Raw genomic sequence first — 16,527 nt, 5'->3', positions numbered from 1 at the left:
ACACACCTGTAGTCCCAGCTACTTGGGAGGCTGAGGTGGGAGGACTGCTTGAGCCTGGAGGTCAAGGCTGCAGTGAGTGGCGATCACACCACTGCACTCCAGCCTCGGTGACAGAGCAAGACCTTGACTCAAAAAATAAAAAATAAAATAAAGGCTGGGCATGGTGGCTCACGCCTGTAATCCCAGCACTTAGGGAGGCTGAGGCAGGCAAATCACCTGAGGTCAGGAGCTCGAGACCAGCCTGGCCAACATGGTGAAATCCTGTCTGTACTAAAAACACAAAAATTAGCCGGGCGTGGTGGCAGGCGCCTATAATCCCAGCTACTCGGGAGGCTGAGGCAGGAGAATCGCTTTAACCCAGGAGGTGGAGGTTGCAGTGAGCCGAGATTGCGCCATCGCACTTCAGCCTGGGGGACAAGAGCAAGACTTTGTCTCAAAAATAAATAAATAAATAAAATAAAATCTGTAAACTGAAAAAAGAGGGATACTGCATAATAATAAAAGCATAATTTATGAAGAAAATAAAAGTTATAACCTTATATGCATAAAAAACATAGCAGCTAAATATAATTAAAAATTATTGGAAATATAACTTAAAAAAATTACAGTAAATGATTTGAATACCAGAATTGGCTAATTCCGACAGAGAGAGAGAGAGACATTGAGAAATTTAATAATACAATCATGAAGCTTGAAGCTTGATTTTATATGGATACAGTTGGTTCTCATTATTTGAAAATTTGCCTACTTGCTAAAATTTATTTGTAACTAGCACATCAATACGCCTGACACTGCTGACAGTCACAGACATGTGCAGAGTGACAAAAAAATTTGAGTTGCCTGGTGCACATGTTCTCAACTGAAGTTAAACAAGGTGAAACTCTGCCTTCTTATTCCAGCTCTTATACTGTAAAGAAGTGTCTTTTTAGCAGTCTATTTAGTGCCACATTGTCTGCCTTTTTGTGCTTTTTGCTGAGAATTTCACTATGTAAAATGGCCTTGAAGGGTAATGCTGAATTGCTGTCTAGTGTTCCTGAGCTTAAGAGGGCTGTGATGTGCCTTGCAGAGCAAATACTTACGTTAGATAAACTTTGTTCAGACATGAGTTATAGTGCTGCTGGCCATAGCTTTGATGTTAATGAATCACCGATATATATTAAACAAGGTTGATGAGAATGTTGTGACCAGAGGCACACAGGAACCTAACCCTGTATTTCCCCTACGGTTCAGCATTCAATAACTTAACATCACAGTAACTTTATAGGACATGCTCACCTCGAATAATGAGAGTCAACTGTATATAGATTTAGAGAGAACTTTAAGTTCCTCAAACATAGAATACCTATTTTTTGTATTCCATGGAGGATTTCTAGATATCACTTACGTATTTTTCCTTTAAGAATATGTCATTGGCTGGGCACGATGACTTATGCCTACAATCCCAGCACTATGGGATGCCAAGGTAGGTGGATCACGAGGTCAGGAGTTCGAGACTAGCCTGGTCAATATGGTGAAACCCTGTCTCTACCAAAAATATAAAAAAGTAGCTGGGTGCGGTGGTGTGTGCTTGTAATCCCAGCTGCTTGGGAGGCTGAGGCAGGAGAATCGCTTGAATCCGGGAGGCGGAGGTTGCAGTGAGCCGAGATTACACCAAGATAGGTCTCAAAAAAAAAAAAAAAAAAAAAGAGAGAAAGGGTCTTTGTAGATGCCATTCAGGTAAGAAACTTGATATGAAGAGATCACCTGGATTATCAGACTGGCCCTAAATCCAATATGTAGACTTACTTATTGGATAAGTAAGAAAAAGGCAGAAGATTTGGGAGACAAAGGACAAAAAGACATAGACACACTGATATGGCTTGGCTGTGTCCCCACCCAAATCTCATCTTGAATTGTAACTCTCATAATCCCTGCGTGTCATGGGAGGGACTTGGTCAGAAGTAATTGAATCATAGAGGCGGGATTTTCCCATGCTGTTCTCATGATACTGAGTAAGTCTCCAGATCTGATGGTTTTATAAAGGGCAGTTCCCCTGCACACACTCTCTTGCCTGCTGCCATGTAAGACATTCCTTTGCTCCTTCACTTTCTGCCATGATTGTGAGGCCTCCCCAGCCATGTGGAACTGTGAGTTCGTTAAACTTCTTTTTCTTTATAAATTACCCAGTCTCAGGTATTTCTTCATAGCAGTATGAGAATGAACTAACATATACACACAGTAGAAGACAATGAGAAGATGGAGGCATGGATTGGGGTGATGTGGCCACAAGCCAAAAAAGTCAAGGATTGCATACAGCCAGGAGGAGCTGGAAGAGGCAAGGAAGCATCCTCCCACAGACCCTCCAGAGGGAGTTCAGCCTTACCAATACCTGGATATTAGACTCTGGCCTTCAGAACCATAAAACAATAAATTTTATTTATTTATTATTTTTATTTTAATTTTTTTGAGATGGAGTCTCACTCTGTCGCCAGGCTGGAGTGCAGTGGCTTGATCTCGGCTCACTGCAACCTCCACCTCCCGGGTTCAAGTGATTCTTCTGCCTCTGCCTCCCGAGTAGCTGAGCTGACAGGCGCTCGCCACCAAGCCCAGCTAATTTTTGCATTTTTAGCAGAGACGGGGTTTCACCATGTTGGCCAGGATGGTCTCGGTCTCTTGACTTGGTGATCCACCTGCCTCGGCCTCCCAAAGTGCTGGGATTACAGGCATGAGCGACTGGGCCTGGCCAAATTTTTGTTGCTTTAAACCACCCAGTTGTGGCAGCCTCGGGAAGCTAACACAACTTCAAAATAATAATAGTAATAATAATAATAATAATAATAATAATAATAATAATAATAAGCTAAGGAAATGAAGCTAGTCACAAAAGACCACATATTAGATTATATTTATATGAAATATTCAGAAAAGGTTAACTCTGTAGGCAGAAAGCAGACTAGCAATTTCCAGGGGCTGAGATGGGAGAAGGAATTGACTAAATGGGTATGAGGGAAAGTTTTGGAGTGATAGAAATGCTCTAAAGATGAATTGTGGCTGGGTTCAGTGGCTCACACCTGTAATCCCAGCACTTTGGGAGGCCGAACTGGGTGGATTACCTGAGGTCAGGAGTTCGATACTAGCCTGGCCAACGTGGTGAAATTGCATTTCTACTGAAAATACAAAAATTAGCCAGGCATGGTGGTGGGCGCCTGTAATCCCAGCTACTTGGGAGGCTGAGGCAGGAGAATCACTTGAACCTGGGAGGCAGAGGTTGCAGTGAGCCAAGATAATGCCATTTCATTCCAGCCTGAGCAACAAGCATGAAACTCTGTCTCAAATAAAAAAAAAAAAATGATGGATTGTGGTGATGGATGTACAATTACAGAAATTTACTAAAATACTGAATTGCATGTCTACATTGGGATATTTTATATCATGTACGTTATACCTCAATAAAATTATTATTAAGAATAAAAACAAAAAATGTAGAAATAAATTTGACAGGGAATGTAAAACACTTATAAAAAAGAAAATTAAAATGATTTTTCTCCTTCTATTGGTATAGGAGCCATTCTTCACTAAGATGGGAAGTCCCAAAGGTATATTTCCTTATCTATGCATAGATACATATTTATACATAACATTAAAAATATATGGGCAAAGAAACCATAAATAAGATCAATTGAGAAAGTCACATACTTGAACATAGTTTTGATAAGATGACAAAACATGAATATTCCTGGTAACATAAGGTAATCTTAGACATTAACAAGGAATGGCAAATAATCTGATAGAAAAATAGCGAAAACATATGATGAGCAAAGACAAATGATGAATAAGTATATTTTTAAAGTGCATAAGCTGAATCATCATGAGAGAATGCAAATTCTCTCCCTGATGAGGTATCACTTTCTACTCCATCAAAGCAGGAAAATGATAGAGCAATAATACCTACTGTCCATGGGAATAACACCGGGGAAGAAGAATAATTTCATATATTATTTTTTTTTGTAGAACACTATGAACTGTTATCAGCCCATTTGAAAAGCAATCTTGTAATGTGTATTAATATAAGATATATTAATTATATATATTTTATAATATAATCTAATATACTTATACTTTTGACCTACTCTTAGGTGTTAATTTTATTGTAATTAAGGATCAGAACATATGATGTATGTATGAGATGCTTATTTTATAGTATGGTATGTAAAGGCAGCAAACTGGGGGAAAAGTAAACGCACCTCAGTGAAGGAGCTGGATGAATAAGTCTCACTATATCCATAACCATAGACTGTCCAGTCATTAAAAAAGAGATGGAGAATTAGGGGCTTATCAGTTGATTTGGAAATTCTACCAGTATTGCTGGATGAAAAAGGCAAGTTGCAGGCAAGTGTGTAAAATTTTAAAAGTTAAGTGTGTATACATATATACATATAAATGTAGGTGCATCCTTGTGTGCACATGTGTGTGTCTACTGCATCTTTCCATTATAAAAGTTTCATTTCCTTTTGTAATTAATAAGTAACCTGGGCCAGGCACGGTGGCTCATGCCTGTAATGCCAGCAATTTGGGAGGCTGAGGCGGGCGGATCACTTGAGGTCAGGAGTTCGAGACCAGCCTGGCCAACATAATGAAATCCCATCTCTACTAAAAAAATACAAAAATTAGCTAGGTGTGGTGGCATGCATCTGTAATCCCAGCTACTCCAGAGGCTGAGGCAGGAAAATCGCTTGAACCTGGGAGGTGGAGGTTGCAGTGAGCCAAGATCTTGCTACTGCACTCCAGCATGGGTGGACACAGTGAGACTCTGTCTCAAACAAAACAAAGCAAAGCAAAACAAAACAAAATAAGCACTCTGTTGGATGCTTCATTGAAGTTGAGTGAATCTCCTGTTCCCCAACTACTTTTCATCCGGTGGGTTTTGTATCCATTGACAACCTTTGCCTAAATCAATTATTACATTGGTAGTTACAAATGAACCTTATTTATGCTTTAAAATAAACTTTATTAAAATACGTTGAATAATTTTGTTGCATAGCAGGTTTTGAAGGCTGAATGATCTAAGTAATGGCTTCCTTTAACTTGGCCTGGGTAGACTAAAAATAAAGAGGCTGACTTCATGCTTGTTCATTTGCTCCATGACCAAACTGAATACAGCTGACATTTTCTGTTTTTTCTTAGACTATCCGACACTTCCAGAAAAAAAGTATAACATAGCCAATGAGACAAGTAAATTATACTTTTGATTTTGGCAGCTGGATCACAGTATCGATAAGTAAAACTTACCAGAATAAAATTATGATTTAGTCTATGATTTGACATTTGACAGTTGCTTTTTGAAGTTTCTGCCAAAGGTTGGTTCAATGATGTTACCCACAAGTAGTATTTTTCTGAGTGTGACATTAAAAATCTGTCCCCATAAATTAGGAAATTTCACAATACTGCATTTTTTACTGTCTGTTTATTGGTGTTAAATACTTAGATTCCTTGAAAATAAACTAAACTCTTCTGACTACAAGTGACTAGCACAATGTTAATTTATCTCAGTTCAGATTGCATCATTGAAAATCATTTTTTAGGAAAATCAACAGGCACATGAGAGAGCTTTAAGGTTTGTTCAAATGATAAGGTTTGTATTTTGTCCTCTCAAAGATTTAACTAAAAAGAATCAAGCAAGATAACTTTTTGCTTGAAATGAGAAGAACAGAAACAAAACCCCATGCTGTCCTATTGCAAATGGTTACTTTTGAAGTAATGTGGAAACTCTTAGCACAATCTAGACTCCTTAGTATTTTATCAATGAAAACACAGAATTAAAAAGTAAAAATTTTAATCAGAAAGTTTCACACAATTTAATCTCTTTAGAAACACTAAGAGATCTCACTGAGGAATTAAGTGTGTGGCTATTTTAACATCAAGAAAAAAATTTTTTGATATTTTTCTACTTTGAACCAAAGGTGATCTGAGGTTCATAAAGTTACATAAAGCAAAAGTTGTAGCAGACAAAATGAGGAACTCAACTTCAGAGGTTTGGGTTTTGGTCCCAGGCTTAGCTGTGTGGTAATCTCCTTAGCCACGGCATACTGAGTAGTAAAAGAGGCAGTTGAATTAGGGGAAAGATTATAATCTAATTTCCTGTTTAAAATTTGATACTGTTAGGTAAGTGATGCTTGCATTTAGAAAAATGATACGATGTGATTCATTCATTAAAAAAGTATGCACTATGCACAACTGTGTGGCAGGCATCGATCTAGGAACTGGGAATATAGATTACCTGCCCTCTCAAATATGAAAGAAGTACAGATATATCCTGTGAACATAATAAACATTTAATAAATCTTGTCTCATAACATGTGTTATATTCATTCAATAAATCAACACCCTTGTCCATCTTTTCACTGGAACCGTTACTGTCACCAATAACCTCCATGTTGCCAAGTCTTAATATCAATTCACAGTTTTCATCAGCTTAACTTGTCTGTAGCATTTGACCCAGTTGCTCATTCCCTCCTTGAGGAACTTTTCCTTCTTGGTTACCATGACACTATTCTATGGATCCACTATCTCAATGGCTTCTTCTTTTAAATTTTTACTGATTCTTCCCATTCCTCCTGATCTCTAAATGTTGGGGATCTCCAAAATTCTATTGTTGAGACTTATTCTCTATTTATTCCCTAAGTGATTTTTATGTAGTCCTTTGGCTTTGACTGTAACTGACATTTCCAAATTCATATCCTCAGCTGTACCTCTCCCCTGAACTCCAGTCTCATGTCAAATACCTATTATATACCTACTTAGAATAAAATTCATATGCCGGCCAGGTGCAGTGGCTCAAACCTGTAATCCCAGCACTTTGAGAGGCTGAGGTGGGCGGATCATATGAGGTCAGGAGTTCGAGACAGCCTGGCCAGCATGGTGAAACCCCATCTCTAGTAAAAATATAAAAATTAGCTGGGCGTGGTGGCGCACCTGTAATCCTAGCTACTCGAGATGCTGAGGCAGAAGAATCACTTGAACCCAGGAGGCGGAGGTTGCAATGATCTGAGATTGCCTCACTGCACTCCAGCCTGGGCGACAGAGTGAGACTCTGTCTCAAAATAAATGAATAAATAAATAAACAAAATCCAAATGCCTATCTTTCCTCTGCTCACTCTGAGACTCCAATATTTGCATGAGGAGATACATTGGCAAGTGTGTTTGGGATCAACATCTGTGATAAATGAGGTTGAAGGAAAAAGTATTGAGAAACAGGAGAAGTTGTACTGTTGATGCGATTGCAACAGAGACCTCAGTTCCTCCTACAGAGAGTTCTGGAGCTGGGATGGACCCTCAGAATTGTTCCAGTTGAGGCAAGAGAGATCTGTACCACTGTATGAACCAGTTACTGGATATATGCTGTCCCTAGAAAGGGGCAAAACCCTGGGCAAAGCAGCTTCCTTCTACCAAAACCAAGTCCAGGAGAGGACATAGCTGTGAGCCCTCGGCAGTCAACATTCATGCCAGCTGGGGAAATGAGTTCCTCATCCTAAAGCGGGAACTGGGTGTCACAGCACAGCTTCTACAATCACCCGTATCTGGTAGCATCTCATCTGCATTGCTTTCCTTCTCTTACGTAGCTTTATTTTTTTCCCCTCAAAGTATATACCATGTGTTTTACTTATTTGCTCACTTATTATTCCCTAATAGAATATGACACTATGAGAGCAGAAACTTTCTTTTTTTCTTTCTTCTTTAATCCTGTATTCCCAGTATCTAGAAATAGTGTCCAGAACATAATGGGTGTTCAATGAATATTATTCAATGAGTAAATAGATATACTACTTGCTTACTAAATGCCAGGAACTATGCTATATTTAGGGAATACAGACATGAACAAGACAGACTCAGTCACTCCACTCATGAAGCTTATGATCAAATATAAATCATGTATACATGGCCGTGCACGGTGGCTCACGCCTGTAATCCCAACACTTTGGGAGGCTGAGGCGGGCGGATCATGAAGTCAGGAGATCGAGACCATCCTGGCTAACACGGTGAAACCCCGTCTCTACTAAAAATACAAAAAAAAAAAATTAGCCGGGCGTGGTGGCGGGCGCCTGTAGTCCCAGCTACTCGGGAGGCTGAGGCGGGAGAATGGCGTGAACTGGTGAGGCGGAGCTTGCAGTGAGCTGAGATGGTGCCACTGCACTCCAGCCTGGGTGACAGAGCGAGACTCCGTTTCAAAAAAATAAATAAATAAATAAAATAAATAAATAAAAATAAATGATTAAATCAATAAATCATGTATACATATGGCACACATGTTTAAAATATGTATACATGTGCCATAATTTAAAAAGTATAATCACAGCCAAACACTGTTACTTACTTAGTATTTTACTAATCTGTATAGATTCAGCACATCTGATGGTCTATCATACAAAAATGTTTATTGAATGACAGAATCAGAAGAGTATAGAAACGCTGGAGACTTTAGAGAGTTACTTATTGTTTCTGATAAATTTTTTTTTTTTTTTAGGCGGAGTTTCACTCTTGTTGCCCAGGCTGGAGTGCAATGGCGCAACCTTGGCTTACCGCAACCTCCACCTCCTCGGTTCAAGTGATTCTCCTGCTTCAGCCTCCCGAGTAGCTGGGATTACAGGCATGAATTACCACGCCTGGCTAATTTTGTATTTTTAGTAGAGATGGGGTTTCTTCATGTTGGCTAGGCTGGTCTTGAACTCCTGGCCTCAGGTGATCTGTCCTTCTCGGCTTCCCAAAGCACTGGGATTAAAGGCGTGAGCCACTGCGTCCAGCCTGTTCCTGCTAATTTTTTTGGAAGGAAAAGCTACATCACTGGGACACATTTTTTGTCAGTCTAGGAGAACTGAATAAAGGACAATATAAGAGAAAGACTAAAAAAAAATTGAATACTTACTTAACTAGAATTTTTATTAACCAACATCCTGTTCTCCAAAATGTTGGAGAGCAAGGCTATAATTGTATCTAAATAGATAAAGGATAAGATGTTTTGTAATGAGTGGATAATTTATAGTTACTTTATACATACAAATATAATTTTTCCATTACTTTAGTTTCAGTGACAGTTAAAATGTAGTAAGGACTAGGAAATAACACTTAGGGCTTTTATGTCATTATTGTGGAATCACAGACATCTTTTTAAAAGCAGCCTATCTCTCTAAAAGCTATGTGTTCTGTTCTCTAGAGCACGTTTTATTTTCTTTCACAATGAACTAAATAATTTTGCCTTACAGAACTTCAGCAAGATAAATCACCGTTCCCCCTTTGCTTATTTTACTGAAAATGTGAAAGTCTTTCACTGTGTATTTTCTATGTGGTAGTGAACATGACAACCAACATTTCAGTTTTTGGTTTGTTGTAAACAAGATACTTGGCATTTCTAGAATACCTTGCATAGGAAATCTCAAATTACACTATACTTACGAATTCACTCATGTCTTTAATAACTTGCACATCATTGTTGCAATGCATGCTGGGCAAGCCAGGTCTGAGTGAGTCAATGCCCTATCTTCTATGCACCACTGCATCCCAGGAACAAAGTAAGCCTTGAGGAAGATTCCAGTCCATAAGAATTTCTACCTTAAAAGTGAAAAAAAAAAAAAAAGAAACAAGATTTCTTTTTTCATGCTCATGGGGTGATAAAACCACTGGGTCCCACTGTTCTCTTCAGACAGTTTTATGCAGTCCTCTATTAAAATAAAATTTAGATTTCTGATGAATATCTTAACTTCCTTTTTTTTTTTTGAGATGGAGTCTTGCTCTGTCGCCCAGGCTGGAGTGTAGTGGCACCATCTCAGCTCACTGCAACCTCTGCCTCCCAGGTTCAAGCAGTTCCCTGCCTCAGCCTCCTGAGTAGCTAGGATTACAGGCGTGCACCACCACACCCAGCTAATTTTTGTATTTTTAGTAGAGACAGGGTTTCACCATCTTGGCCAGGCTGGTCTTGAACTACTGATCTCATGATCCACCTGCCTCGGCCTCCCAAAGTGCTGGGATTACAGGCGTGAGCCACTGCGCCTGGCCAACTCTCCATTTTATACCAATTTACTGAGATGTCACTTCTATTATTGGATATCTTTTTGAAAAGAATACATGACTGATAGCCCAGAGTTTTGGTGTACACATCTAGTTTGATGAGATCATTGCTCTGATGGCCAATGCAGGTGGCAAAGTCCTTACAGCAGATTTTCCAGGGCACAATAAATACTAGAATTTCACAAATTATCCTTGCTGATGATTAATTAATTCTCCTCTTGTAAGTGGAGGTGATAACAGTACCTCTAAGCCAGAAGGGATGCTTCAGCCCCTTCATTTTAGAGCCAATGGTATTTCATCAAAAGAGCTGATAAGCCATAGATGGTTAAGTGCCATAGAATGTTACAGGAAATAATCTCTTACCATGAACTCAAATGTACAAATTTGTGTCATTTGAACACATGCCATGAAGACATGGCCGAAGCAGTTCTAACTTGCCTCATACGCTTGTCCTGTATCTCTCACTCTACCTGTATCTCTGTCTCTCTTCTGGCCATCTCTCACCGTCTCATTCTTCATCTGTTTTTTTTGAGCCTACCTGCTTCCATCTTTTATTTTTCCTTGTTTTTGATCTTTTTCTTTCTTTCCTCATTTCAGGTTGCTCACATGAGCTGACTGGAAAGTGTATTTCAAGTGTACATTTTATCATTTCTGACATTTTTCCTATAAAAATTTTCTTTCCCTGCTAACAGATTTAAAACCAGAGTGTAAAATTCTTAAAATTTGCTTGATTTAAAAGCATTTCAATTCCATGTAAATCTTGATTTGTAGTTTAAGTTGAAAAAAGATTACTTACTTCAGGTTATTAATTTCTCAAAGAATACATGCTTGCATATGGTAGGTGTCCAATAAATGATTGTTGGATGAATGTTAAGTGTGTGTGTGTGTGTGTGTGTGTGTGTACACTGAATTCTTAAGAGGGAACTTAATAGGTGTTCTTGCAGTACCTCCCAGACACAGCTAGGCATTCATTAAGACATAAAACTCCAACAACTCCAAAGGGTGCTGCTTATCTGTTTTTGTTCATCCGGGTATCAGAATCTTGATAGCAATGGTCAGGTAGAATCCACCTGGAAGAATTTCTATGCATAGCTACCTAGAGGAGTTGTTTGATCAGAGATCATATGAACACTCAAAAGCATGTGTTGAGAACTACATATACTTCATCTTACATGCTGCTGTTCAATGAACTCCGAAATAGTGCTTCTCTAATTATATGTGCATGTGATTCCCCTGGGGATCTTGTTAAAATGCAAGTTCATATTCAGTATGTCTGAGGCAAAGCTTGAGATGCTGCATTTCCAACAAGCTCCCAGGTGATAATGTGGCTGGTCCATGAATCACACTTTGAGCAGTTTGAGAGTTTAAAGGTAATGGGGGTTTGTAACAGAACTTTTGTTATCTCCCTTCTGTTTCTTCTCATTAAGAAACTGGTTGATAAGTCTCAGCTAGTGAGAGCCTGGCCTCACTACTGATGACAGTATTGTCTTCTATCCTCTGGCCTGTCTTGGGGTGTCTGTGTTTGCTGCAGGTCTTTGTTATTAATGACTTGAAGTCCTTAATATCGACTTGTTAACTCTGGGAACAACTGCTGGCTGCTAATTTGTGCACCATTTGGATGCTGGTTCTGTCTGGCAATTACATTCTCCATAGCACCAGTTTTCTTTGTTTTGCTGCAGAAGTAGACAGTGGGGTGTGGGGGAGTGAGAAGAATTATGTCTTGCCTCATGTGTCAGCTGCATAGCACTGTAACACTTCCTGTGTAATATCAGTGGTGGTTTGGAGCATTACCCTCAAACAGTGTGGGTCTCATTGAATTCTCAGAGCAACTCAGAAATATGTAGAATTATTATATAATTTCCATCTTATAGCTGTCAGATTCACAGTGGTTCAATAACTCCAACAAGATGACAAGGGTAGTAAAGGGCAGAATTGGAATTTTTACCCCTATATTGTGACTCCAAGTTCAGTGTTTTCTATTTCACCTTGCTGTGAATAATTATCATAATAGGAAGATGGACTATTCATTTATGGAGGGGAGAGGTGGTATCTGTAAGTCTTTATATATCCATAAATTTATTTTTCTTTGGTTGTACATTGGCCCACTACAATACCTGCCTACTTTTATGAAGAGTTAGCACCAAGAACAGCTTGAAAATCTTGGTAGTCTGTTGACTTCAGTTTGAGAAAGATTGTTTCTTGGTTTTGAGATAAAATGAAATAATATATATAAATGGAGAATGAAGAGGAGAAAACAATGAGGATAAATAAAGATGTAGCATTGTCCTCCTCTCCATTTTTCTTCTTCCTTTTTTTTTTTTTTCCTGCATTCTGCTATGGAAAATAAGGCAGTTCTGTAGGCATCTAGGGCCTTGTCTCCAACCACCTTAGGTACATTTATTAATCTTTGAGACATTTTCTACATCTTGCTAAGAACCAGTAATTCTTCTAGAGGTCTATAACTGTCAATGGTCAAATTATTCCTACTCTAAAATACACAATATTGCTTACATTCACATTTAGATGATTTGCTTTGGGGTGGCCGAATGGACTGGGGATTTGATTTAAAGACAAATGAGTATATTTGCATTTAGTGTTTCCTTCTTGGAAAATTATAGGGGGAAAAGAATCAGGCAATTGCTATAATTACTACATTGATGGTTCAATGGGGGCAAAAATGTAATCCACTACAAATTGGAAAGTCTGAAAAAAGGGGCTTTTAAAAGAAAAATTTTTCTATAAATGATTTCTTTATTCTATGAACAGCTAGGAGGAGACATAAACTTGTCAGTTAAAGAGTTCTTTTAGCAATATCTTTAGTTTAAAGCAGACACTTGGGTTAATTTGTACATTTTGGGTAAATATGCAGTGTTTCTGAGTTCACTCCCTTTCCAGGTCTTCTCACCAACATTGTATCTGGCTATAGATGGAATCCGCGCGGTACTGGAGGTCGGGCAGGGAGAGGGGTCACTAGTCCTTGGATTATCAGATTAAAATAGGCCCTTGATGGTCTCCAGGATAATGTCTCTTTTCCCTCTCAGTTATAGGGAACCCTGCTGATATCTGCTACTGACGTTCATGGTTGTGAAACTTATGCTCATTCTCTTGATTCCACCAGGACCTTAGGCTGTTGCTGGTAGTGCAGGTCCTTTAGTTGCGGCAAAAGCTGACAGAGTTGGGAAAGTTTATTCTAACTCCATGCCTCGGTGGCCCTATGGCAGGTTCACTGGCTCTCTACTCAGCCATCCCTAACAAGACTATGTGGGGACTCATGAGTCCCTTCTACTTCACATGGGAGACACGAGAGACCTTATGGGCACTTTTCCAACCTTCTTTCCACCTTCATCTGTTCCTCAGCTACTTCTAAGCAGCTTGGACAGTTCCATACTAAAGCTCTGGTTCCTCTAAAGGACTTGAATTTATTTCAGTGTCTATCCGAAGAAGTTAGGAAAGGCTCCCTGCTCTGGAAAAACCTCCAAACATATCTGATTATCTCCATCTACACACTTGATTTGATCCAAAAGGTGGGCAGAGAGAATGCTAACTTGTATAGGTCTTGGTATGTGTCGAATTGTGTTCCCTAAAAAGATATATTGAAGTCCTATATTATCTATTGAACCCTTAGTATCTCAGAATGTAATGTTATCTGGAAATAGGATCATTGGAGATGTTGTTAGTTAAGATGAGGTCATACTGGAATAGTTTGGGCCTTTAATCCAATATGACTGGTGCCTTTATAAGAAGATGAAAGATGACCTGTTAAGGCAGAGTCACAGAGAGAGACCATTGCGTGACAACACAGGCAGAAATTGGAGCGATGCAGCGGCAAGCCAAGAAATGCAAAGGCTCGATGGCCATTATTAGAGGCTAGGAAGAGTCAAGGAAGGATTGCAGCTAGAGTCTCAGAGGGAGCACGTTCCTGCTGACACCTTGATTTCAGACTTCTAGCCTATGGAACTGTGCAAGAATAAATTTCTGTTGTTTTAAGCCACCCAGTTTGTGGTACTTTGTTATGGCAGCTTTAGGAAACTAATACAGTTCCCTTATGAAAATTAGAAAGTGAGATCTTTCAGAAAGATATCCTTGGACAAGGGCTGCCAATCTTGGTAAGTGAAACAAGGCTTGGATACCCACCCTCACTTGACTCCTTGAATAAACACTGCACAACCAAGTACAGTGGCCCTGGAATCAGAAGCTAAGACCCAAATATCTGAATGCTTCTTTTCTTCTACTTCCCTTATCTTTTTATTTCCTCCTCAAAGAGTTTGTACTTCCCCTTTCTCTCTAGGTAGACATGAACTTCTGTTACATCATATCCTGAGTTACTGCCATGGTTCATGTTAGAGCTCTGTGGACTGAGTCAATTGTGGCTGGCTATTAAGACAGTCTTGCTACGAATTAAAGATAGATAGATAGATAGATAGATAGATAGATAGATAGATAGATAGACAGACATTAAACTTAGCCATGACTATTTTCTTTATCTCAGTTATCGATTGCTACATAACAAATTGCCACAAAACTTAGTAACTTAAGACAACAAACATTTGTAATCTTCCACAGTTTCTGAGGGTCAGGAATCGGAGACCAGCTTGTCTGAGTGGTTCTGACTCAAGGTCTCTCCTGAGGTTTTAGTCAAGCTGTCACTCAGGGCTACAGCCTCTGAAGACTTGACTGGGACTGGAGGATTTGTTTCCAACGTCATACACATGGCTGTTGGCCGGAAGCTTCAGTTCTTCACCATTGGGCCTTTCTGTAGGGCTGGTCATGACCTGGCTTCCCCCAGAACTAGTGATCCAAGAGAGACGCAGTGACCAAGACAGGAGCTGCAATCTTGGGAGTGACATAGCATCACTTCTGCCATGTTCCACCGGTTATACGACTCTAGTACAATGTGGGAGAGACTACACAGGGTGGAATACCAGGAGGTGGGGATCATCAGCGTGGTCTTGGAGGCCATCTACCATGCTGTCCTACCAGTGTTCCTCACTGAGAGTAGCACTGAAGTTAGGGTAGGACAAATCTTTGTTGGGTAGGACTGCCCTAGGCATTGCTGGAGATTTAATGTCCCTGACCTTCACCCACTAAATGCCAGCAGCATTCCACAGACCTGTGACAATCATAAGTGACCGTGAACATTTCCCAGATGGGTGGTATTCACCCCCACCTGACAGCCTATCTGCTATTTGAGTCAGAAGGACTTAGGCTTTGGAAGTTAATATAAATGTAAACATATCAATTTATTATTTTCAAAAATATTACAACCATTACACTGGCATCTTCTCATAGGGTTTGAAGTAATTAAGGGATTTCCAGTCCTATAAGACAGGCCTATAGTTTGAAAGAGCACTGAACTCGGAGTCATAAAATGTACACTTAGTCTCACTTCTCCCTTTTGGTAGCTGACAGCCGGGAGCAAGTTATAAAACTCTCTGAGCCTTGCTTGTGAATGGGAGGTAATACTACTTACCTCACAAAGTTCTCAAATAAGAAGGTTCTATAAATAGGGTAAAGAGAGTGAAGCATCCTTGAACCACACATGGGCTGACTCCTTTCAGAGAAACGAGAGTGTCCCAGTCCCTAGAGGCTGCTGTGGTTTCCAGTAGGAGAGTCAGAGGAACCAGCGAATCCCCATGGACCAATGTAATGGGCCAAGATTCCCTTAACAGGACAATCCATGCAAGCCTTGGTTTACTTCTTCACAGAGGCAGGAGTTTTCCTAGCTACAAGATGACTACTAGGCTTTATTTTGGTGAGAACTCTATATTCCTTCTATTTTGTTGCCTTTCCTGGTCTTTGGCCAAGGTATGACTCGTGGGACAACCATAACATTTTCTCCCATTTTACTCCTCTGTTCTGGATTTCCTTTTCCCACTGCTCCTCTCCTCCTAAGCCTTGGCATTTTCCTTTTGGAAAGTGATCATCTCCCTCCCTGTACTTCTGTCTGCACTTTTACTCCACTCCCTTGACATCCGGCTCACTCGTGAACTTGGTGCTTCCCCTCTAGTCTTCTCAAATTGTCTTTCCATCAAAACATGGAGGCAAAACTCTTCCACCCGCAGCTGTCTACATTTTTTTCTGTTCCTGGGCTGGGAGGCACAGCTGGAGAAAATCACCGAACTTTCTGGAAGGGTATCCTACAAATGAACTCCCACATGCCCTGTGCCATCAGCACTGCCTGATGCTCCTGTTTTCTTGGTCAGCTCTCTCCCTTCCATCTCCACAGCATCGATTATGAGACTTTTCCTCATTGAACTGAAGCCATCTATTTCTTTCCTTCATACTTCTACCTCACCCCTTACCTTCAAATAACTTTGCCTGCTCCTTCACAAAAAATTAGAAGCCACAGATGAGAACACACACAATTTCCTGCCATGTCTTTCACCATCTTACCTGTCCCTATACCTGCACTTACCTTCCCCTAAGACTAACCCTTCCATCTAAACTTAGGCTCTCATCACCTTGGGCCTTCTCATGTACTTCCTTCCG

The 16,527-nt window shown here is 39.9% G+C and overlaps 1 long non-coding RNA gene across 1 annotated transcript in view; it reads right to left on the bottom strand.

The window, feature by feature from the left end:
* Positions 1-9,274: 9,274 nt before the first annotated feature.
* LOC105374217 (uncharacterized) overlaps positions 9,275-16,527 on the bottom strand; it is a 44,277-nt gene continuing 37,024 nt past the window's right edge. Inside the window, exon 4 of the long non-coding RNA XR_924718.4 lies at positions 9,275-9,582. This is a non-coding gene — a long non-coding RNA (uncharacterized LOC105374217). The remainder of the gene's footprint in view (positions 9,583-16,527) is intronic.

The sequence above is a fragment of the Homo sapiens genome, chromosome 3 (genome assembly GCF_000001405.40).
Source record: "Homo sapiens chromosome 3, GRCh38.p14 Primary Assembly".
Lineage (NCBI taxonomy): Eukaryota > Metazoa > Chordata > Mammalia > Primates > Hominidae > Homo > Homo sapiens.
This window is presented reverse-complemented; position numbering and strand designations above follow the sequence as displayed.